The sequence below is a fragment of the Homo sapiens genome, chromosome 3, assembly GCF_000001405.40.
Source record: "Homo sapiens chromosome 3, GRCh38.p14 Primary Assembly".
Taxonomy (NCBI): Eukaryota; Metazoa; Chordata; class Mammalia; order Primates; family Hominidae; genus Homo; species Homo sapiens.
In genome coordinates this window covers 72,930,570-72,956,208 of record NC_000003.12, presented here as the reverse complement: position 1 = coordinate 72,956,208, position 25,639 = coordinate 72,930,570, and the positions used below count along the sequence as shown (strand labels likewise).

At 41.9% G+C, this 25,639-nt stretch overlaps 1 protein-coding gene across 2 annotated transcripts in view, besides 1 other annotated feature; it reads right to left on the bottom strand.

The window, feature by feature from the left end:
- Window positions 1-25,639, bottom strand: part of GXYLT2 (glucoside xylosyltransferase 2) — an 88,870-nt gene that overhangs the window by 20,707 nt on the left and 42,524 nt on the right. For both annotated transcript variants that reach the window (NR_138564.2, NM_001080393.2), the window contains exon 4: window positions 860-1,111. Coding sequence is in view for 1 of the 2 variants with exons in the window: in NM_001080393.2 (NP_001073862.1) it covers window positions 860-1,111 (252 nt within the window). In the remaining variant the exon portion in view is untranslated. The remainder of the gene's footprint in view (window positions 1-859; window positions 1,112-25,639) is intronic.
- Window positions 5,305-5,434: an enhancer, noted in NCBI's record as "active region_20094". NCBI's record gives its function as "activates an Ori minimal core promoter by ATAC-STARR-seq in GM12878 lymphoblastoid cells {active_cell/tissue: GM12878}" and the evidence as "EXISTENCE:reporter gene assay evidence [ECO:0000049][PMID:35858748]".

Below are 25,639 nucleotides of genomic sequence, written 5' to 3'. Positions count from 1 at the left end.
AGTGCAGTGGCTATAATGCAGCCTCGACCTCCTGGGCTCAAGCGATCCTCCCATCTCAGCCTCCCAAGTAGCTGAGACTACAGCCACGTGACACCATGCCCCATTAATTCTTCTGGAAATTTCTAAGGCATACAAATAATCACAGTCTCTGTCGCCAGGCTGGAGTACAGTGGCGTGATCTTGGCTCACTGCAACCTCTGCTGTTCGGGTTCACACGATTCTCCTGCCTTAGGCTCCTGAATAGCTAGGACTACAGGTGTGCGCCATCATTCCTGGCTAATTTTTGTGTTTTTAATAGAGACAGGGTTTCGCCATGTTGGTCAGGCTGGTCTCAAACTCCTGGCCTCAAGTGATCCACCTGCCTTGGTCTTCCAAAGTGCTGGGATTACAAGTGTGAGCCACCACCCCTGGCCAGGAGGATAATTTTTTTTGACTAGTTCTCTACTGATGTTCTTTTAGCTTCTTTCCACTTCTTTGCTAGGATAAAAGATGAGATCACGAACATCCTTATACAAATATCGTCACGGACTTACATAAATAATCCCTAGGGTAATTTGAAGAAATTTTACATAGTCTTTGAAGCATTGGGTATGAAGCGTTCAAACATTATGGAATTCAGAAATGCAACATAGTATTCCTGAATGGCGACTTTGCTGAAGCTTTAAATTCCATTGCCATCTGAGCTTTTCCTGAATAAACAAATATTCTATAATTTTCTAAATACTTTTCTCTGGTTCCTTTTATCCTCACCTATAGGCCACCCAATTTCCAAAATCAGCATATTGACACTCTGGTAGTGCCACTGTTGACAAGACCAACTCCCAGTCTTTAAACAAGGAATTTTAAAGCACTCGTTTACCTTGAACTGGGTACTTCTTATCCGAGTTAAATTCATTAACATGACTCCTGAATTAACTCCTGCAGAGCCATAGAAAGGATGCCTAGCAAAGCGGCTGTACCAGCCAATCTTGGGGATTTCGTGCTCAGGGGCCATGGCTGCAAGCTGGGTGGAATTAAACAGCCTCAGAAGCTTCCAGATGTCATCAACAGGTCTCAGAAAGAGGACATCGGTGTCCACGTAGAGAAGTGAGTCCACATCCTTTAAAATCACCTTTGTGTGTAAGGAGTGGGTGTAAAGGGGAGAGGAGGGAAGAAAACAAAACAAAAACAGGTCAGAAACAAAGGAAGTAGCCTGATAGGTAAATAATGCTACCAACTTTTGTTGATTCGTATTAAATTCTGGAAAGGTACCACTCTTAGCTTCCATTCCTTCCTTCTCCTTTGACTTGAGGAATGAGTGTCAATCAAGAGGTAGAGACTTAAAAGAAGATAAATCTTGGTCTGGATTAGCCCAATTCTGGGACCCTGGACTATATTTGATAAGGGTTGAACTTACAAAAAAAAGAAAACATCAGCAAATTATTGTGGCTCTCACTTCTTCCATCTTCCAATAAGGCCACTTGTTTTTCTCTCTTAGGTTTTCCTTGGAACATCCAGTGTGGCATTAGAAAACCTGAAGTGGACAATCTCTATTTATTTATTTATTTATTTATTTATTTATTTATTTATTTTTGAGATGGAGTCTCACTCTGTCGCCCAGGCTGGAGTGCAGTGGCCTGATCTTGGCTTACTGCAACCTGAAGTGGACAATCTCTAAAGCAGCTCATACCAAGCCTTGGGGGTAAATACTCTCCATCTTTGGATCCATTTCTTCTAGTGTTAATGGGGGGCCCTGCATCTTTTAAAATATATATAAATATATATAAATACAAATACACACACACACACACACACACACACACACACACAGGCTGGGAGCAGTGGCCTGTAATTCCAGCACTTTGGGAGGCCAAGGCAGGCGGATCACGAGGTCAAGAGATCGAGACCATCCTGGCCAACATGTTGAAACCCTGTCTCTACTAAAAATACAAAAATTAGCTGGGCGTGGTGGTGTGCGCCTGTAGTCCCACCTACTCAGGAGGCTGAGGCAGAAGAATCGCTTGAACCCGGGGAGGGGGCGGAGGTTCCAGTGAACCAAGATAGCACCACTACACTCTAGCCTGGCAACAGAGCAAGACTCCATTTCAAAATAAAAAATTAAAAAAATATATAGTTTGCAGATGAGGGTCTTGCTCTGTTGTCCGGGTTGCAGTGCAGTGGCATGCTCTTGGCTCACTGCACTCTCAATCTCCTGGACTCAAGTGGTCGTCCCACCTCAGCCTCCCGAGTAGCTAGGACGACAGCTACACACCACCATGCCTGGCTTTTTAAATTATTTGTGGAGACGAGGTGTTGTTATGTTGTCTGGGCTGGTCTTAAACTCCTGGACTGAAGTGATCCTCCCACCCTGGCCTCCCAAAGTGCTGGGATCACAGGTGTGAGTCACTGTGACCCGCCTAAAATGTATTTTTAGCTAAGACTTGGTCTTGGGATTAGGCAATGCAAGTCATTGGCTAGCTTTGTTTGTGTATCAGCATGCGGCAACCTTTTTCCTCTAAAGGGCCAGATAGTAAATATTTCAGGCTCTGTTGCAACTCCTCAAATCTGCTGTTGTAACATGAAAGCAGCCACTGATAACAGATAAACAATGAGAGTGGGCCGGGCACAGTTTCTTCAAAACAACAGAATTTGAAGATTCTAATTTCAATCCTAGCACTTTGGGAGGCCGAGGCAGGCAGATAGCTTGAGCCCAGGAGTTCAAGACCAGCCTGGGCAAATGGTGAAACCCCATCTTTATCAAAAAATAGAAAAATTAGCCAGGCATGGTGGCATGCGTCTATAGTCCCAGCTACTCAGGGAGCTAAGGTGGGAGGGTTGCTTGAACCTGGGAGGCAGAGGTTGCAGTGAGCCAAGATCACACCACTGCACTCCAGCCTGTGCGACAGAGACTCTGTCTCAAAATAATAATAATAATGACAATAATAATATTAAGAGAGTGGCTGTGTGTCCTAATAAAAGTTTATTTCAGGACACGGAAGTTTGAATTTCATATAATTTTCAGATGTCACAAAACATCCTTCTTTTGATTTTTCAACCATATGAAATGTAAAAGCCACTCCTGGCTCACAGGCTGTGGTTTGCTAACCTCTGCTTGGATGATTCAAGCCACCTTAGGTAAATTAGTTCTCCTGTGCGAACTGCTTAGCTTTCCAGAGCTTTGCTGGGTGATTTGAGACTTCAAAGCCTTAGCTAGTAGTAGCATTATTTGCTTTGTTTTGCCATTGTTCCTCAAACTTTGGGGTAGCTTAACCAAGGAAGGATTTGAATCTTCCTGTATCCTTGGCCTAACATCATCCCAACACCATAACACTTATGGACTGAATGTCTGTGTCCCCAACATTCATATGTTGAAGTCCTAACCCACAATGTGATGGCTTTTGGAAAGGGGCCTTTGGGAGATAATTGGGTTTAGCTGAGGTCAGAAGGATAGGGCTCTCAAGATGGGATCAGTGCCCTTATAAGAAGAGACACCAGAGAGTGCTCTCTCTCTCTCTGCCATGTGAGGACAGAGGGAGAAGGTGGCCATTTGCAAGCCAGGAAGAGGCTCCATCACCACAACCTGACCATGCTGACACCCTGATCTCAGACTTCCAGCCTCCAGAACCATGAGAAAATAAATTTCTGTTGTTTCAGCCACCCAGTCTTGTATTTTGTTACGGCAGCCCAAGCAGACTAGTATAACATGCCACTGGGATCCCCAATATTTAAAACTGATGAACATGGGTGCTACACGATACAAGTATCAAAGGAACTTCAGACCTGAGTAATTCTGAAGCCCACAGAATTAGCCACAGGATTTATCTTTTGTTCTTCACCTACTAGAGAAATGGATGTTGCAAACCAATAAAATGAAATTAAAAATACTGATCATCTACCATTTCATAAATGAAGATTATCTTAACATCCATTTTAAGAATTTGAAGATTCTAAGCCAGGCACGGTGCCTGGGAGGCTGAGGCAGGCAGATCACTTTAGGTCAGGAGTTTGAGACCAGCCTGGCCAATATGCTGAAACCCTGTCTCTACTAAAAATACAAAAATTAGCCGGGGGTTGTGGTGTGTGCCTGTAATTCAAGATACTCGAGAGGCTGAGGTACAAGAATTGCTTGAGCCCGGGAGGTGAGCGTTGCAGTGAGCCGAAATGATGACACTGCACTCCAGCCTGGGTGACAGAGTGAGACTCTGTCTCAAAAAAAAAAAAAAAGCTGGGCATGGTGTCACGTGCCTATAATTCCAGCTACTCAGGAGGCTGAGGCAGGAGAATCCCTTGAACCCGGGAGGCAGAGGTTACAGTGAGCTGAGATTGTGCCACTGCACTGCAGCCTGGGAGACAGAGTGAGTAAGACTCTGTCTCAAAAACAAATAAAACAAAACAAAAAAACAAAAAAATAAACAAAACAAAACAAAACAAAAAAACAGAATTTGAAGATTCTAATTTCAAAATTAGGAAGAATTCTGAATATTGACTGCTTCTTAAACTAAGCATTTAAAGTTTCAGCATGCTCATTTTGGTATGTAGATCATATTTCAAAGGAACACACAAAAGTAGCCCTAAGGGTACATCTCAGAGAAATGTGAGAAAACAGCACTTAAGAATCGTGAGTCTGGTATTCCTGAGTTCAAGTCTTGGCAGCCTGAGGTAATACCCTCGTGACTTCAGACAAGTTCCTCAGTTTACCACCCACCCAAGTTGTTAAAAGGATGCAGTGAAATGAAACCCACGAAGTACTCAGTACAGTGGCTGGCACATAGTAAGTACTCAATAAATAGTGGTTTTGTAAGAAGTCTCTGTGTTTTCGCTTTTAAAATGTCAAGTATAATTAGTTACCATTCGCATCAATGCTCACAGCACTTCAAAACACGTGTCAACCACAAAAAGCCTTTTATGTAGTCAGAGTCAAGCAGTGCAATGAAGTTTTTGAACCTTCCTAATATGATCCACTCAGTACCTGGACTGAAAATAAGTACATAAGGACTTTTTACTCTTTATCTGAAAAAACAAAAGACCAAAAAAAAAATCACTTTTTGATAACATTGCATCTCTAGAGGCTAATTCTGCAGCAATTACTGCTGGTATTAATTTGAAGAGGATCATTGTTGGCCATGTTATAATGGGATGTGGGATATTTATCGAAAGGATATAAAATTAGCCATTCTAATTCCTTTATGGAAATTAGCCAGCACTAGCAATGAGGCCTTTGTTTTTTTAGAGTGAGGGGCGGGGTTAAAAGGCAGCACACAATAGTACTCTGTACCCGATGCTGCTGGCTATAATGTAATGGATCTTCCTGCTCCTGCTCCATGCACCACCCTAACCTGGGCACCCACCTCCAGTGAACCCTGCTCAGCCATCTGCACCAAGTGTGAGCCAAAGACTGGCCATGGGCAGCAAGACGATCAGGGGCTCACCAGTGCACCTTCAAATTCATTTTCAATTTGTTGTAATTCTAGTCTGAGTTTGACAGTATGACTTGGTGGTTAAAAGTTTTAGGTTTGAAATCTGGCAACCTACGTTCAAATTCCATTTCCACCACTAACTATGTGATCTTGAACAAGCTCTTTTGGCCCATTTTTTTTTTTTAGACAGGGTTTCACTCTGTCACCCAGGTTGGAGTGCAGTGGTGCAATCATAGCTCACTGAGCCTTGACCTCCTAGGCTCAAGTGTTCCTCTCATATCAGCCTCCTGTGTAGCTGGGTCCACAGGCATGAGTTACCGCGGCCAGCTAATTTTTTCTTTTTTCTTTTTTTGAGATGAAGTCTCGCACTGTCGCCTGGGCTGGAGTGCAATGGCGTGATCTCGGCTCACTGCAACCTCTGCCTCCTGGGTTCAAGCGATTCTCCTGCCTCAACGTCTGGAGTAGCTGGGATTACAGGTCTGTGACACCATACCTGGCTAATTTTTGTATTTTTATTAGAGACGAGGTTTCACCATGTTGGCCAGGCTGGTCTTGAACTCCTGACCTCAAGTGATTCGCCCGCCTCAGCCTCCCAAAGTCCTGGGATTACAGGTGTAAGCCACTGTGCCCAGCTGCTAATTTTTTTGTTTTTTTGTAGAGACAGGCTCTTGGTTTGTTGCCAGGTTGGTCTTGAACTCCTGGGCTCAAGTCATCCTCCTGCCTTGGCCTCCCAAAGTGCTGGGATTACATGCCTGGCCTGCTTAAGCATTCTAAGTCTCAGTTTCCTCTTCCTGTAAATGGGATTGATAACCCATTTCATAATGCTGCCAGGATGATTAAATGAGATGATGTGTGTGAAGCCCCTGGCACACACACAGCAAGGACTCAATAAATGCTATGTGATCTTATTCTCATCCCACTCTCATGAGGGCTAGGTTTCCTGACTGACAGCCCAGGTAACCAGCAACTGGCTATGGTAGTAGTAGTAATGAAAGAATGAGGCCGGGCACTGTGGCTCACACCTGTAGTCCCAGCACTTTGGGAGGCTAAGGCGAGCGGATCATGAGGTCAAGACATAAAGACCATCCTGGCCAACGTGGTGAGACCCCATCTCTACTAAAAATACAAGAAAAGTTGGCTGGGCATGGTGTCACGTGCCTGTGGTCTCAGCTACTCCGGAGGCTGAGGCAGGAGAATCGCCTGAACCCGGGAGGCGGAGGTTGCAGTCAGCTGAGATCGCCCCATGGCACTCCAGCCTGGTGATGGAGCAAGACTCCATCTCAAAAAAAAAAAAAAAAAAAAAAAAAAAAGAAAAAGAAAGAAAGAATGATACATATTCCCTGTTCACAGGAGCTTTAATGGGGGAGACAGAAAAGGGGCAAAGCAAAGTGATGATGAGAAGGTTAGCACAGAAGCACAAAGCAGAGCCCTTAAGCCAGGCTGGAGGAAAAGTAAGGAAAGCTTCCCAGCAGAAGTGACATCTAAGCTAAGAGATAAATAAGCGGAGAGCAGGGCAAACATGGAAGAGCATGTGAAAAGAGAGGGCATGGCAAAGGGAGGACTGCCAGTTGCTCCAGGGCTGGAGTTTACAGTGGGAGGAGGGGTGAGAGATCAGGCTGTCCAAGTGGGCAGGTGCCCGATCAGGAACTATGTTGACAAATTTGGACTTAATCCTGAGAGCAACAGGAAGATATGTTCAATGACTTGACCCAGACACCTCTAGGTCATCCTTGCTTCCTCGCCTACCCATACTGCCCGCATCCAATCCTCAGCAAGTCACACAGGCTCTACCTCCAAAATGTCTGAGTCTGTCCATTTCTCTCCTTCTCTGCTTCCTCACCCGAAGTCCAAGGCACCATGACAGTTCTCCTAGAATTCTGTAAAGTTCTGTTCCCTGGGCTCCCTGTGTCTGCACTTGCCCCCTCCAATCCACTCCTCACAGAGCAGTCAAAGGGATTTTTTTTTTTTTTTTTTTTTGAGACAGAATCTTGCTCTGTCACCAGGCTGGAGTGCAGTGGCATGATCTTGGCGCACTGCAACCTCCACCTCCCAGGTTCAAGCCATTCTCCTGCCTCAGCCTCCCAAGTAGCTGGGATTACAGGCGCCCACCACCACGCCCAGCTAATTTTTGTATTTTCAGTAGAGACGGGGTTTCACCATGTTGGCCAGGATGGTCTCGATCTCATGACCTCGTGATCCACCCGCCTTGGCCTCCCAAAGTGCTGGGATTACAGGCGTGAGCCACTGCGCCTGGCCCGGGATTTTTAATTTCCATTGTGACTTGTTCTTCAACCCATCAGTTCTGTACAAGTGTCTTGTTTAATTTCCAAATATTTGGAATTTTCCAGATATCTTTTTGTTATCCACTTCTAAGTTAACTCCCTTGTAGTCAGGGAGCACACTGCAGGATTGCCATCTTTTCGAATTGACTGAGACTTGTTTTATGGCCCAGGATACGGCCTATCTTGGTGAATGTTCCCTGTACATTTGATAAAAAAAAGTTTATGCTGCAGTTGCTGGGAGGAGTAGTCTATAAATGCTATAGCTGTTGATGAGGTCACTTGGTTGATAGTGTTGTCAAGGTCTTCTATATCCTCACTGGTTTTCACGAGCTCCATGGAGCTTTACATCCAGACACAAAGAAAAAGGGATGGAGAAATGTGGAGTTACTGCAAATTCATTTATATCAACAGGTATAATTAGGGAATCATTAATCATTTTCCCACTAATGATAGTTAGTTATTAAAAGAGGAATGTTGGAATCTCCAACTCTGTGAATTTATCTTTTTCTCTATTTGTCTAGGAATGTTTTTGCTTCGTGGAACTGGAAGCTTTGTTATGAAGTGTACACTCATTTGAGATGGTTACGCCTTCCTGATGGGTTGATCCTTACATCGTTATGCAATGTCCAGAGGGCTTTGAAACAAAAACAAAAACCTACAATAAATCATCCTACTTTTATCCTCAAACCCCTCCAAGGCCTTTCACTGCATTTCTTTCTTTTTTTTTAGAGATGGAGTTTTGCTCCTGTTGCCCAGGCTGGAAGTGCAATGGTGTGACCTTGGCTCACTGCAACCTCCGCCTCCTGGGTTCAAGCGATTCTCCTGCCTCAGCTTCCTGAGTAGCTGGGAACACAGGTGCCCACCACCACACTTGGCTACTTTTTTGCATTTTTAGTAGAGGCAAGGTTTCACCATGTTGGCTAGGCTGGTCTAGAACTCCTGACCTCAAGTGATCCACCCATCTCCACCTCCCAAAGTGCTGGGATTACAGGTGTGAGCCACTGTGCCCGGTCTTCACTGCATTTCAAATAGTCACACCTGTACCATAGTCTATGAAAGGCTCCATAGGATATACACACTCCGTCTACCTCTCCAACTTAGTTTGCTGTCACCAGTGTTCCTCCACCGCGTAGCACAATCCATTTTTTTTTGGCTCCAGGGCCTTACACCTTTCATTACTGCTCTATTACCGTCAAAGTCAGCAGTGGATAGGGAGCTAAATAATCCTAATAGAAAGCCAATGAGCTCCTAATTCTCTCCCCGTCTACAGCCAGGGTCTTCTCTATCTGAGATGCGCTTAAATATTTGTTTCTATCTTTGTCTTTGCTTAGATAGAAACAAATATTTAAGTCCCCTCTGTCAGAAAGAAAACACAAAATTGAAACAATAGGCCAGGTGTGGTAGCTCATCGGGCACTTTGGGAGCAGGAGGTGGGAGGATCGCTTGAGGCCAGGAGTTTGAAAACAGCCTGGGCCATGTAGTAAGGCCTCATCTCTTCAATAATATTAATAATAGTAATAATAGCAATAATAGTAATAAAGTAGCTGGGTGTGGTACTGTGCACCTGTAGTCCTAGCTACTTCGGAGGCTGAAGTGGGAGGATCATTTGAGCCCTGGAGTTTGAGGCTGCAGTGAGCTATGATCACACCACTGCACAGAGGCCTAGGCAACAGATGGAGACCTGTCTCTTAAACAAATAAAAACAAAATTAAAGCTATAAATTTCTAATTTAACAAAGGAATCATCTTATCATGGACTAAATGTTTATGTTTCCCCCAAGTTCATATGTTAAAATCTTAACCCACAAGGTGATGGTATTAAGAGGTAGAGTCCTAAAAGGTGATAAGGTTATAAGGGTGGAGCCCTCACGAATAGGATTAGCACCCTTATAAAGAAGGCCTCGGAGAGCTCTCTCACCCCTTCCACCACAGGAGGACACGGTGAGAAGGCACCATCTATGAATCAGGAAGCAGGTCCTCACCAGACAGATGCTGAATCAATCTTTTGGTGCCTTTATCTTAGACTTCCCAGCCTCTGGAACCGAGAAGTAAATTTCTGTTGTTTATAAGCTACCTAACTTATGGTCTTGTGTTCTTGCCGCCTGAACTAAGACATGCCTTCTGGAATGACTTAGTCTTCTCTACGACTGGGATGTCTTCTCTCTCACTTTATTTCCTAAGTTCATTAAGATGATAAGGCCCTCAAATGTACTTTAAAATGACATCCTTTTTTTTTTTTTTTTTTTTTTTTTTTTCAGACAGGGTCTTGCTCTGTCACCCAGGCTGGAGTGCAGTGTCACAATCGTGGCTCACTGCAGCCTCAACTTCCTGGGTTCAGCTGACCCTCCCATCTCAGCCTCTCCAGTAGCTGGGACCGCAGGCATATATCATCAGGCCTAGCTAATTTTTAAATTTTTTGGAGAGACAAGGTCTCGCTATGTTGCCCGGATTGATCTCAAACTCCTGAGCTCAAGCAACCCTCCCATCTTGGCCTCCAAAAGTGCTGGTATTACAGGTGTGAGCCACCACACCCAGCCAAAAGAAATGGCATCTTTATTGATTATGAAATACATGTATTGCCCCTGATGCTTTAGTCAGTTTCTAGGTTTGTGAACTCTTGTTTTTGATCATTGCCTAAAGTACTAAAACTGTGATTAGTGCAGTATTAAAACTGTGATTAGTGTGAAAATTAATGCTTCCCAATCATATCTGCTGATGTAGGTGAATTAGCAGTCACTGCGCATTCTGCCCTCTTTCCCTGAGACTGCAGGTAAAGCTTCAGGGAGCTCCTGCTGTTCATGATAAGCAACTTCCCAGGCCTGCTGGTGAAGTGTCACCAAATGCTTCCCAAATGCCAGGCAGAGCACTTCACTCATTATTCTTGAACACTCAGGTCTGACTCATCCCTTCTTAGAAAGATTTTCCCAGAGGGCTCCCCCTTCCTTCCTTCCATTTTCTCTTCATCATACCACCCGACTTCCTTCCTTCCGTCATGTCTCACAGTCAATGGCCTTTGGTTAAATTATTTTCTCATCTGTTGCTTGCCTCCTCTAACTAGAATAGAAACCCCTTGAGGGCTGGGATCTTCTGTATCTAGGTAACATCTAAAGTCTGTGTGCCTGGCCCATGCCTGACATAATATATGCTAGGCATCCAATAAATATTTACACAAGCTAAGGAATTCAACTGTTGAGCTCACTCAGAAACACTATTATTTTATTTTATTTTTATTTTTTTATTTTTTGAGATGGAGTCTTGCTCAGTCGCCCAGGCTGGAGTGCAGTGGCGCGATCTCAGCTCGCTGCAAGCTCCGCCTCCCGGGTTCACACCATTCTCCTGCCTCAGCCTCCTTAGTAGCAGGGACTACAGGCGCCTGCCACCACACCCGGCTGATTTTTTTTTTTTTTTTGTAGTTTTAGTAGAGACAGGGTTTCACCGTGTTAGCCAGGATGGATAACCACTATAATTTTAAATACGCTTTGAGGCTGATTGTAGAAGAGAAGGACAGGTTCTAAGTGACGAGAAGATCTGTGAACAAATGAAGTGCAGAAGACTCAAGTTCATGAAGGAAAACCACTGCATTGCCAATCACGGGAATATCCTGCTTTTGCTTGCATGTCTGGGACGTCACCCTCTAGGCCTCTGTTGACAAGACAGCTAGGTTGCTACGCACATCATTCCACTTCCTTACCTCTCATGCATTTCGAAAATGCCCTGCAAACTAAAGGGCTAGAAAGAGAGCTAGGGGAGGAAAAGAACAGAAGCAAAGACAAAGTTGTCATTCAGATTCAAGCAGAAGTGAATTTCAGAGAGGGAAACTTTGGAAAATGAGCCTGCTGATAATCAGGAGAGAGAGGAAATATTAAAGAGGATTAATTCAGGAGGTGGAAACAGAGAAGAGCAAACAACAGTTTCAGAAGAAAAAGAGAAACACTCTTTTTGTGCCAAGAGAAGATATCACCTACATACATAAAAAACAAACAGCTGGGGCCGGGTGCGGTGTACTCCCAGCACTTTTGGAGGCTGAGGCGGGCGGATCACTCGAGGTCAGGAGTTCAAGACCAGCCTGGCCAAGATGGTGAAACCCCATCTCCACTAAAAATACAAAAATTAGCTGGGCATGGTGGCACACGTTTGTAATCCCAGCTACTCGGGAGGCTGAGGCAGGAGAATCACTTGAACCTGGGAGTTGGAGGTTGCAGTAAACTGAGATTGTGTCACTGCACTCCAGCCTGGGCAACAGAGCCAGACAGTCTCAAAAAAAAAAAGAAAAAAAAAGAGCCAGGTGTGGTGACATGTGCCTGTGGTCCTAGCTACTTGGGAGGCTGAGGCAGGAGGATTGCTTGAACCCAGGAGGTTGAGGCTGCAGTGAACTATGATCACACTACTGCACTCCAGCCTGGGTGAGAGAAAGAGACCCTGTCTTTAAACAAACAAACAAAAAGACTTGAATATAATGAAAATATCAACTATTAATCTATACAGAATCAGAAAGTCACAGTCTTGATGTATAAAAAATCAAATTATAACTAAAGAAATGATGCTCCCAGCCAGGCATGGTGGCTCACGCCTGTAATCCCAGCACTTTGGAAGGCCAAAATGGGAGGACAGCTTGAGCCCAGGAGTTTGAGACTAGCCTGGGCAACATAGCAAGGCTCCACCTCTAAAAAAAAAAAATGATGCTCTCAATGGAAAGGTGCAAGCAATACAGACACTAGTTTCAGCTCGGGAAGATGCAAACATTTTAGCACAACAGTGTGTCTGTCCTTAATGCCACAGAACTGGACACTTAGATATGGTTAAAATGGTACATTTTATGTGATTTCTATTTATCATAATAAAGAACAGGAAAAAGAGGCTGGGTGCTGTAATCACGCCTGTAATCCCAGCACTTTGGGAGGCCAAGGCAGGAGGATCACTTGAGGCCAGGAGTTCCAGACCAGCCTGGGCAACATGGTGAAACCCCATCTCTACAAAAAAATAAAAAGTTAGCCAGGCGTGGTGGGGCGTGCCTGTGGTCCCAGCTACTCGGGAGGCTGAGGAGGGAGGATCACTTGAGCTCAGGAGATCAAGTCTAGAGTGAGGCATGTTCATGCCACTGCACTCCAGCCTGGGCAACAGAGGGAGACCCTGTCTCCAAAAAAAAAAAAAAGGAAAAAGAGAAATACAGATACCATTACTGCATTTTTTCAGTTAAAATAAAGATTGCTTTATGTGTACTCTATTGTATTTATTCACCCATTTTTATCTTTGTAAATTTTCACTTCCTTAAGCCAAATACATTTTGAGAAGTTATTCCAAGATAATACTTAATTTCTGTAATTATATGAGGTCCCTGTCCTCCTTTTTCCCCCTTTTCCTTTTTGAAGCATCCATCATTTCTGAAACACACATCTCTTTGGGTAAAATGTGTTGTCAAAGCTGCTTGACTGTGCTGATTTTCACCCACTGTGTCTGGCTGTGTTTTTAAATTTTTTATTGTGAGATCATTTTAAATTTACAGAAGAGGTGTAAAAAGTTCAGAGAGTTCCCATATATTCTTCACTCAGCTTTCTCTTGTGTTAACATCTTACATAACAAGAGAACAGTAATCAAATCTAAGAAATTAACCCTGGTATAAATACTACTAAATAAACTAAAGAACTTATTCAGATGTCACCAGTTTTTCCACAAATCTCCTCTTTCAGTTCCAAGATCCAAACACTGAATTTATTTGTCACATCTCCTTAGTCTCCTCCAATCTGTAACAATTTCTCAGCCTTTCCTTTTTTTTTTTTTTTATAACCTGGACAGCTTTGAAAACACTGGCCGGTTATTTAGAACAAAGTCCCTCAATTTGGGTGTCTGATGTTTTCGCATGTTTAGATTGAGGTTATGCTTTATTGGGAAGAACAGAGGTGAAACACGCCTGGGCATATACGATGTTGACCGGGCCAAGTGATATCAGTCTTGATTGCTTGGCAAAGGTGGAGTCTGACAATATTCTCCACAGTCAACTAAGGATTTCCCCTTTTTCTTTACTAAATATTTTGGAGGAGATACTTTAAAAATCATACAAATATCATGTTTCTGGTTAAACTTTCACTCCTTAATTTTAGCATTCACAGGTAGATCTTACCCGCAGTAATTATTACTATGGTGCTCTAACAATGATTTTCTATTTGCCTCCTTCTTTCTACATGTATTAACTGGAATTTTCTATAAGGAAGAGGTGTGATTTTTCTCCATTTATTTATTTATTTATTCAGTTATGTATTTATTTTTTTAATTCAGTTATTTATTTAGATTGGTGTGGACTTATGAAAAATTATTTTAAGTGTTATAATTAAATACTATCATTATTTATTTTGTTGCTCAAGTTGTTCCAGCTCAAGTCATTTGGAGCTCTTTCAGGTTGGCTCCTACCTCTTCCAATATGAACCCCCTCCTTTTAAAAATTATTTTTATTATTAAAAAATATTTTTTAGCACATCCTTACCTTCTGGCACCATAAGGTTAACTCCAGGGGCATCTTGCATTTTCCCTGCCTTCAGCCAGGAATGAACAGTTCTCCCAGGAGCCCTGGGTTCCTTTGGAGGATGGAATTCAGAAACCAATATCTAGGTGCTAGGTGTGTTCATTGCTACTCAGGTGTCACTGCTTCTAGCCTCCTAACAGTAGACAGAGCTAGGAAATACATGTATGTATACAAACCCATGTATACATACATATCCATAATTACTTCTTTTTCTTATTTTTATCTTTTCCTTTTTTTCACAGATGTTGAGTATCCATAATTACTTCTTTACTTATCTGTACCTATATATTTATTTAAAAAAACATGAGTCCACATTGACACTGATCTCAGGACTGTGCGGGCATGTGTGTATGTGTGTGTGTGTCTGCCTGTGAGAAATAATTTGTTAAAGGCAAAGAGAATTCTGAGCTTAGATTACTAGGGTGTTGGGCTAAGATTACTAGGTGTGATTTTAATAAGTGAGGCTGGAGGTAGGGGCGTAGAATGGCCAGGTTATTGTCTCCAGGCAACAGTATGGCAGAGGGTAATGTGCACAGCATCTGGGAAAGAGTGACACACACTAGAGTGGCTGGAATGGGAAATTCATGACTTGGAATAATGCTGAAAGTTAGTATGTAAACTCAGAATGCAAAGGGCCCTCAACATCAGGCCCAGAGGCCTGGACTTGACTCTGCAACAGGGACTCTAGGAGGATTCTGGGCCAGAATCCATCTGATGAGGATAGCATTCAAAAACCAAAAATGCAGGAGTAGTAACAGGAGAATAGAGACACATGTAGCAGGGAGATGAGTAAACAGGATAATATAATAACCCTTTTCTCTATTATCATTGCCACCTTTATTTTTTGTCTTAATTGTAAATACATGCAGACCCAGAACACATGGTCAGAAAGAGGCCTATACCTTCACGGCTCTGTACTTCTGGTGCATGCGAATGTCTTTGCAAATGTGAACAGATAGCTTGCATACATTACGTAAAGCTCTGATGCTCTTTGTCTTTTTTCTCTTTCTTACTGGTTTACTATTTTTAAAAATTGGGCCAGTGCGGTGGCTCATGCCTGTAATCCCAGCACTTTGGGAGACCGAGGTGGGAGTATTGCTTGAGGCCAGGAGTTCAGTTCCAGCCTGGGCAACATACAGATCCAATCTTTACAAAAAATTAAAAAATTAGTCAGGTGTGGTAGTTTGGGTGGGTAATTCCAGCTACTCAGGAGGCTGAGACAGGAGGGTCCTCTGAGCTCAGGAGGTGGAGGCTGCAATGAGCCATGATTGCACCACTGCACTCTAGCCTGGATGACAGAGGGAGACCCTGTCTCAGAAACAAACAAACAAACAAAACACGAGTTGTCTGAATTCCACAATACACAAATTCATGCATGTGTGTTGTAAAAACATACAAACAATTCAGCAATCAACAGAGTAAGTTCAAGTTGCTCTTTACCTGTCCTTATCCTCACCACACCACCACTCCAAACCCCCATAACCAACCCCCGCTCTCTCTTCAGAATTAACCAACATTAACAGTGAACCTCATCCCAGTCTGTTCCATGGGGTCTTCATATGGCCAGGAAGTCAGATCTCAACTCAATCAATCCATCACTCTTTAAACTCTTTTTTCTGTAATTCTTATTACTGCCTGAAATTAACTAATTTACTTGCTTTTTGTCATTCTTTTCTGACTTGGATATAAGCTCCATGAGATTAGGATATTTGGATATCTTATTCACAGTCATACTTCTAGGGCCAGTCACATAACTGAGGCTCAATAAATATTACCGAATAAATGGTTGTATGTGTAAATGTTTATAAACACACACGAACACATACATTTTTGCATTTTCATTTTATTTACTTTTTTGAGGTAAGGTCTTGTTCTGTCACCCAGGCTGGAGTACAGTGACACAATCATGGCTCATTGCAGCCTCCACCTCCTGGGCTTAGGCAATCCTCCTGCCTCAGCCTCCCAGGTAGCTGGGATTAAAGGTGTGAGCCACAGCGCCTGGCCATTTCTTTGCATTTAAAAAATACTGGCTGAGTGCAGTGGCTCAAGTCTGTAATCCTAGCACTCTGGGAGGCCAAGGCAGGCGGAGTGGATTGCTTGAGCCTAGGAGTTCAAGAATAGCCTGGGCAACATGGCAAAACCTTATCTCTACAAAAAATACAAAAATTAGCCAGGTGTGGTGGTGCATGCCTGTAGTCTCAGCTACTCAGGAGGCTGAGGTGAGGGAATCACCTGAGCCTGGGGAGGTTGAGGCTGCAGTGAGCTCTGATAGCACCACTGCACTCCAGCCTGGGCGACAGACTGAGACCCATGTTTAAAAAAAAAAAAAAGGAAAGAAAAGACTACCTATAGAATCATACTATACATGCCATACTTTCTAATTGTCTACTTTGAGATACTTCCCTTTAATTTTATGTGTGCAGACAACAAAGAACATTCTGTTTGATGCTGCATATTCTCAAGTATCCTCTTTGATATTCTTGAAATAGTTTAAGATAGTTTAGAGAATAATGAATACTTGGAAAATAATGTTGCTATATAATGCTTCCTTTTCTGTTTTGTTGTTGTAGTTGTTGTTGTTTTTGAAAGTCTTGCTCTGTCACCCAGGCTGGAGTGCAGTGGTGTGATCTCGGCTCACTGCAACCTCTGCCTCCTGGGTTCAAATAATTCTCCTGCCTCAGCCTCCCAGGTAGCTGGGTGCCACCACGCCCGGCTAATTTTTGTATTTTTAGTAGAGACAGGGTTTCACCATGTTGGCCAGGCTGGTCATGATCTTTTCTGTTTTAAAATATATATATAATTGGGAGTTTGTAATAAAATAAATATGCATTCTTAAGTAGTGTTCCACACTGTTTTAATCTGAGATTTTAAGATTGCTCATTTTGTTAAATTATTACCTTAAAATGGGGTGGCACAGGAGAAAATTAAAGCCTATCAATTTTTATTTTTGTTTCTATTGTGCCCCCTTGTGGAATTACATATAACTTACATATTCATTTTTGTGACGTTCTAACAAAGAGCAGGGTGTACCAATGTCATGGCTGCATTCAGGCATGCACCAATCAATGAAGTAGCCTCTTCTGATCAGTTTAGTCTTTGCAAACAAGATTCTGATTGCTTCTGAGTTGAGCAAAGCAATGATGGCTTTGTTCAAGATGGTTCTTCTAAAATTCTGGCTCATTAAACTTGTGTTTGGTCTTTGATTTCATCATTTCAGCTGTGTGGCCAACTGTTAGAACTGCATGCAGGACGTTTTCCACAGGCCTTGCGTAACTGAAAAGTATCTGGTTTCTCCGGCATGTTCTGAGATAATGGCTCTCTAAGATGTTCCATCTGCTTCCATGCTTGCTTTTGGCTTGCTTCCTCCTCTTATCAGGTGTTGCAATCCCAGCCAGCAAGCACACAGTATCTTTCCTTGTTGGCTGTAGACATTCCGTTAGCCATGGCAACTGTCATTTAAAGCAGAGTCTAGTTTCTTAGTCAGATGGTGCCTCCCCAGAGAATGTGTTGCTGAAAACAGGATCATTGGATCACAAGGAACTGTAGCTCTTTACTCAAATTAGACTGATTTTCAAAGAAGCTTTTCCCTTTTCTTATATTTGAGACTCTAATATAGCCAACATTTACTGAGTAGACACTGGGTTCAGGGCTCAGCACTTTTATAAGTTATATCTTTAAATCCTCTCTGTCACTTTTTGAAGCAGTGGTTAAAGCCCTTTTTATAAGACCATCCATCCATTTGTCCGTCTTTCCATCCATTGTCCATCCCCCTATCCATCTATACATCCATCTTTCCTTCCACCCATTCATCCATCAAAAGAGTTTTACAGAGTGCCTTCTGTTAGTATGTACCAAATATTTCTGTAGGTGCAGAAGATCAAAGACCTTTTACATTTTTTTCTTTTTTTAAAATTAAATTTTTGTAGAGAGGATCTCACTGTGTTGCCCAGGCCAGTCTTGAACTCCTGGCCTCAAGCATCCTCCCACCTCTGCCTCCCAAAATGCTGGGACTGTAGGCATGAACCACCATGCCTGGCCAAGATTAAAGATCCTTGCCCTGAGAGGGCTTACATGCTCCTGAGAAAAGCGAAAAAATAAATGAGTAAAGTGTGTAGTATTCCAACTTTGAAGATGGTAGGATATGGAAAACTAAAGCAGGGATGGGGAGCAATGATAAATACAAACACCTCACTAAACTGGCGAGTCTGAGCAAAGACATATGTTCTATTTCTTTTTTCTTTATCCATTTAACAGTTAAAGAATGGAAGGTTCAGGGGAATTTTCCTAAGGAGGTATTTTGGGAACACTTTAGGAATGTCTTCTACAAGTAGAGGAGAAAATGCTGTCACTAATATTCTAAGAAGTAGGGCAGAATGACTATTCTTTAGGAGAATCTTGGGCTTCAATCCAGACTCCAAGATTTACCCCAGGAAAAGGATTTAGTTTTCCTCAATTTCAGTTTCCTCATTTGTAAAGAGGATGCAAATGAGCATATTCCTCAAAGAGTTGGGGAAGAGTTAATGAAATCATAAACCTAAAGATCGCAGCCTGGGTTAAGTGCAGTAGGCATTGGGTGGTCATTGGCCACCTACCATACATTTCCCTTTTTTCAGTGTTATGTCCTGAAGACATATTTTAAAGCAGCATTTCTTAAACTATTTTCAACTGTACCTCATAGTAAAAAACGCATTTTCATCACAATTCTAGTTTATGCATACATAAATATATAAGACAGAAATGTCAAAAAGAATACTTGTTTTTACTAAATGCAATGCATATTTATTCTATTCTATTTCTTTTTTTAAAAAAAAGCTGATAATAATCCACTAAACTGGTTCCAAGAGTCACTGGTGGGTTATTCCTCGCAATTAGGGGAAACTCAGAATAGTCAAATAGTTAACCAAAACTTAGTAAATAATATACATAGATAGGTAGGCAGACATATGGAAAAAGAAGTAAAAATGGTCCTTCCTCTATGTCCTCCACCATATTCTCTACTATTTTCTTCCCAGAGAAAACCACCAATTCCAATTATTTAAATTGATTCTGTAGGTATATACCTCTGTGTGTCTAAATAATATACCTTATCTATTAACTTCCTACCCTGGAAGAATAGGTTTTAGCTCTCTTTCACACAAATTCCCAACCCCACACATATACCTTCCCATCCCCCAATACAATTGTATCAAAATATCATTTAGATCAATACACAGTATTATGATGGCCATGAAAACATTATTTCCAGTGAAGCCACAAAATGAGTAGCAATACTTTCCCTCTCTGTACAAGTGTTTTTCCTGGAATTAATGACTCTTTTTGCTGTTGTTAATTTGTTTCGGTTTTTTTTTGTTGTTTTTTTGTTGTTGTTGTTTTTTGAGATGGAGTCTCACTCTGTCACCCAGACTGGAGTGCAATGGTGCGATCTCAGCTCACTACATCTTCTGCCTCCTGGGTTCAGGTGATTCTCCTGCCTCAGCCTCCCGAGTAGCTGGGACTACAGGCATACTACACCACACTTGGCTAATTTTTGTATTTTTAGTAGAGACAGAGTTTCACCATGTTGGCCAGGCTAGTCTCAAGTGATTCATCTGCCTCGGCCTCCCAAAGTGCTGGGATTATAGGCATGAGCCACTGTGCTGGCCAGTTTTCTATGTTTATTAAAGTTTCTTCCACGACTTCCTGATTTTCTCTTCTTTTTCTTTTTTTTTTTTTTTCTTTTTTTTGAGATGGAGTCTTGCTCTGTCACCCAGGCTGGAGCGCAATGGCGCAATCTTGGCTCACTGCAACCTCCGCCTCCCAGGTTCAAGCAATTCTCCTGCCTCAGCCTCGGGAAATAGCTGGGACTACAGGCGCGTGCCACCACACCTGGCTAATTTTTTGTATTTTTAGTAGAGATGGAGTTTCACTGTGTTAGCTAGGATGGTCTTGATCTCCTGACCTCGTGATCCACCCACTTTGGCCTCCCAAAGTGCTGGGATTACAGACGTGAGCCACCGCGCCCGGCGGGCTTCCTGATTTTCTCCAACCAGGATGCTGTGCAGCTATCATCTCCTTTCCCCTGATACTCCTTTCACGTCCCCTTTGAGTAGTATTCCCTGCTTCTAGGATCTCACATCTTCATATTTCTTAATGTACTCCATTTCAGTGGAGTACATTAGACTCACAGAAGGAATTACAGAAGACTCACAGGAGGTAAATATTTTGAAGCGGTGCACATCTGAAAATGTCTTGCGACCTAGACACTTAATTTGTAGTTTGGTTGAGTATAGAATTCTAGATTGAAAATAATGTTGCCTGTGAATTTTAAAGGTATTGCTCCAATATTTTGGCACTTTGCCCACTACTGTTGAAGAGTTTGAAGTCCTTTTGATTTCTGGTTTGGGGAATGTGACTTTTTCTTCCCTTTCTGATAGCTAATATTATCTTCTATTTCACCTGTTGTTCTGAAAGTTCAGTCAATATGCCTGATACGGTATGGTTTTTTCCATTATATGTGATGTCTTCTGATGGATTCTCTCAATCTGGGAATTTATGTCTGCTTGTTCTGGGAAATTTTCTTGAATTAATTTCACGGTTGATTCCCTATCCTGTGCGTTGATTTTTCTTTCCAGAGCTCCTATTGTTCAGATGTTGAACCAGTCCTCTAAGTTTCTGATCATTTTATTGCTATTCTCCTTCTATTTAGTTTTTGTTTTTTGCTGTACTTTCAGAAAGAGTTCAATTTTCCCAGTTCTTCTATTGAGTTCTATTCTGCTGTACTTTTAATGTACAAGAGGTTTTTTTAATCCTCTAAATATTCCATTCTTGACATAGAATCCCATGCTTCTTTAATACATATTGTGTTTTATTTTATTCCTCTAGGATCCTAATAATAATTTCTTTAGAAGTTTTATTCATCTTCCATATATGATTTTCTGTAGGTTGATAAGCTCCCTTTGTTTGTTTTGAACCCTGTCTTTCCTATTAGAGGGTTTCTTCAAATGTCTAGCAATCACTGGATCTCTATTCATATTCCAGCTGTTTGGAAGTAGGTGGAGTAAGCCTGTCAGCTATGCACATCATTGGAGGAAGATCTGTGGGCCACTCTAATGGGGAATCCTTCCATGTCAGTGTTCTTAAATCTCCATAGATATGCTTCCAAATCTCTGTAATTTTCTTTGCAAGGTTCTGGGCTCTACATGGTAGAAACAGGCCTGGGGTCTTAACATTCATGTGTAAGTTTTTTACTGAATCTCATGTTTTCAACATAATATCCTTAACTGTGCCTGGATTCTCCTAGTCCAGAGACCCCCTGTTTTACTTTCTTTAGAAACTGAATTTCCAATATTTTGCCCAAGGGAGAATCAAATTCCAAGTTAAACAGTATGAAACAGGCAATCTGAAGGCGTAACTGCTTTTCAAACATAAATGTAACTACACCTCCTGATTTTAGGTTCATCTTCATTGCCATCTCCAGACATAGTGGATGCCGCTAATTCATTGGCTTTGGGGGTCTTTTTGCCATATATATCATTTGCTTCTGCGTTTTTCCCACTGCTGGTTAAAGATTTAGCTGTCTCAAGTCAAGGTTGGTAAATACTATTCTGGTTGTCCTAGAATATATTTATGCTATTAAAAAAATTAATTATCAGCTAGGTGTGGTGGCTGGTGCCTATAATCCCAGCACTTTGGGAGACTGAGGCGGGCAGACTGCTTGAGCCCAGGAGTTTAAGACCAGCCAGGGCAATACAGCAAGACCCTATCTCTACAAAAAAATACAAAAATTAGCCTGGCATGGTGGTGCACACCTGCAGTCCCAGCTACTCCAGAGGCTGAGATGGAAGGATCACTTGAACCCAGGAGGAGGTTGAGGCTTCAATAAGCTGTGATCACACCACTACACTCTAGCCTGGGTGACAGAGCAAGACCCTGTCTCAAAAAAAAAAAAAAAAAAAGAATAAAATTAAAATTAACTATCAATTTTTGTATAGTTTTAGGAAAGAATGAATACAAATACAAATAATTTCCTTGCCATCTTTAATCCAACACAAGTCCAGCTGGCTAAGCTCCTCTTTCATTCTGAGAACTCCCAACATCCTTTCCTTTCTTTATTATTATTATTCTTAATTTTTGAGACAGGATCTCACTCTGTTGCCCGAGTTGGAGTGCAGTGGGGCCATCACAGCTCATCTGCAGCCTCGATCTCCTGGAGCTCAAGTGATCCTCCAAGCTCGGCCCCCCCAGGCTGCTGGGACTACAGACCTGTGCCACCACACCCGGTTAATTCTTTGTAGAGACAGGGTGTCACTTTGTTGCTCAGGCTGGTCTTGAACTCCTGGGCTCAAGTCATCTTCCCATCTTGGCCTTCTAAAGTGTTGGGATTACAGGTACGAGCCACTGTGTCCAGCCCCAACATCCTTTCAATCAAATTCTCTTCTGATTAACTCAGCCTGAATCAATTATGATCACGTTCATTTATTTTTCTTTTTTCTTAATATTTGTACTTACTATAGCCAACATCATATATGATCACTTTCAACCAAAGAACTACGTTACAGTAAGTAATCAACATATATTATTGTGATTCTTACACTAGGCTTCGTAAGAAATATAATGACTCTTCAGTTGTAGAACTATTGCATCTATTAGCATTTACTAGCAACTACTGCAACTATTAGCATCTAATACTATGATGCTAATTATGCTGGAGTCAAAAAGACAATTCCCTACAATGTGACTGATGTTTTAATAGGAGCGTTACCTGCTGGGACATGTTTACAATTGTTCATGGTTAGTTATGGCTTGGCCGACTGGGTCAAAAAAAATGATGTTGCTATTAATCAAGATAAAGTCCTTTTCGGAAAGAGAATTAACTGTCTCAGTAGTTTCATGCTACATATCAGTCCTAAAAAAATAGGTATAATAATAAAAATAGTATCTAACACTTTCTATGTGCCAGGCATTGTTTCCAAGGGTGTTAAATGTATTCACTAATTTGAATTTTCACAACACTATGAGATAGGCAATATTATTATTCTCTTTTTACAGATGAGTAAATGGAGGCAAGGAAAGTTGAAATTATTTCTTCTGGTTACAAAGTGGTAAGTGGTAGAAACAAGATTTAAATGTATTTGGGCTGCTTCCAGAGCCTGGGGTCTTAACAACTATACCATACTGTCTCTATATAATAATATCTCAAATTAATTTGTCTCCATTAAATGCTTCCTAACACTGTGGCTATTACATTTTCTAAAGGCCACACTTTGTATATTATCTCATATTCCTCATCTTAACAAAGTAACTGGACCTCTCTGAAGGCCTGAGAAGAAATGTTATATAACTATTCATTGTTAAGCCAAACAGATGTTTATTGTTTGCCCTCCCCTTCATATCTTTCTCCATCTCCTGACAAGAGCCACTCTCTTGTGGTAAAACCCAATCCATGTGGCTTAAATGTTGTTGGCCCCTGTGGCCCATGGAGGAGAATGTGATTCAAGTCAAGCCAATCTGAGTATCCTGTCTTCCTGGACATAATGATTGGTTCAGAAATAAGCATGACTTTGGATTAAACAATGGTTTCTTAGATATGACACCAAAAGTACAACAAAAATGGAAATAGATAACTTTGAATTAAACAAAATTAAATACTTTTGTGTTGCCAATGACACTATTAAAGTGGGCCACGTACGGTGGCTCATGTCTGTAATCCCAGCACTTTGGGAGGCTGAGGCAGGTGGATCAACTGAGGTTAGGAGTTTGAGACCAGCCTGGCCAACATGGTGAAACCCCATCTCTACTAAAAATACACACAAAAAATTAGCTGGGCGTGGTGGTGGGCACCTGTAATCACAGCTACTGGGGAGGCTGAGGCAAGAGAATTGCTTGAACCCAGAAGGCGGAGGTTGGTGTGAGCCAAGATCGTGCCATTGCACTCCAGAAAACTCCATCTCAAAAAAAAAAAAAAAGTTAAAAGACAATCCACAGAATTCAAATTTGTCCATTTCATCTAAATTACCTAATTGATTGAAATACAATTATTCATAGTATTGCTTTATAATCCTTTTATTTTGGTAATGTTGGTAGTTATGTTCCCTCTTTCCTTCCTGATTTTAGTAGTTTGAGTCTTCCCTTGTTTTCTAGCTCAGTCTACCTAAAGGTTTGTCAATTTTGTTGATCTTTTCAAAGTACCAATTTTTAGTTTTGGTGTTACTCCTCTACTGTTTTTTCTCTTCTCTGTATCATTAATTTTCAGTTGAATCTTTATTATTTCCATCCTTCTGCTTGCTTGGATTTAGTTTGCTCTTCTGAGGTGCTGTAAAGTGGAAGGTTAGGCTATTGACTTGAGGCCTTTCCTCATTTGTACTGCTGAAGTTTATAAATTTCCCTCTAAACCCTGTGTTAGGTGTCTGCCATAAGTACTGGTATGTTGTATCTTCATTTTCATTGTAGTTTCCCTTGTAGTTTCTTCTTAAAGCAATTGGCTATTTAGAAAGAAGTATGTTACTTAGGCCGGGCGCGGTGGCTCACGCCTGTAATCCTAGCACTTTGAGAGGCCGAGGCAGGTGAATCACGAGGTCAGGAGATCGAGACCATCCTGGCTAACATGGTGAAACCCCGTCTCTACTAAAAATACAAAAAATTAGCCATGTGTGGTGACGGGCACCTGTAGTCCCAGCTACTCGGCAAGCTGAGGCAGGAGAATGGGGGGTGAACCTGGGAGGCGGAGCTTGCAGTGAGCGGAGATGGAGCCACTGCACTCCAGCCTGGGGACAGTGCAAGACTCCGTCTCAAAAAAAAAATAGAAAATAAAATAAAAAAATAAAGAAGTATGTTACTTAATTTCTACATTTTTGTTAACTTCCCAAATTTCTTTCTGTTATTGACTTCTAATTCCATTCCACTGTGGTCAGAGAACATACATTGTATAACTTCAATCCTTTTATGCTTTTTACAGCTTCTTTTATGGTACAACATATGGTCCATTCTGGAGAAAGTTTCATGTGCACTCACAAGAACGTATTCTACTGGTGTTGGGTGGAGTGTCCTAAAGAAGTCGGTTGGTTCAGCTGGTTTATGGTGTTGTTCTTCTATTTCCGTGTTGACATTCAGCCTAGTTGTTCAATCCATTATTGAAAGTAAGGCAGCTGGGTGCAGTGGCTCATGCCTGTAATCCTAGCACTTTGGGAGGCTGAGGCAGGTGGATCACTTGAGCCCAGGGGTTCGAGACCAGCCTGGGCAACAGGGTGAAACCCCATCTCTACAAAAAGTATGAAAATTAGTTGGGCTTGGTGGTGCACACCTGTAGTCCCAGCTACTTGAGAGGCTGAGGTGGGAGGATCACCTGAGCCTGGGAGGTCAAGGCTGCAGTGAGCCATGATCATACCACTGTACTCTAGCCTGGGTGACAGAGTGAAACCCTGTGTCAAAAAAAAAAAAAAAAAAAGAAGAAGAAGAAAAAGAAAAAGA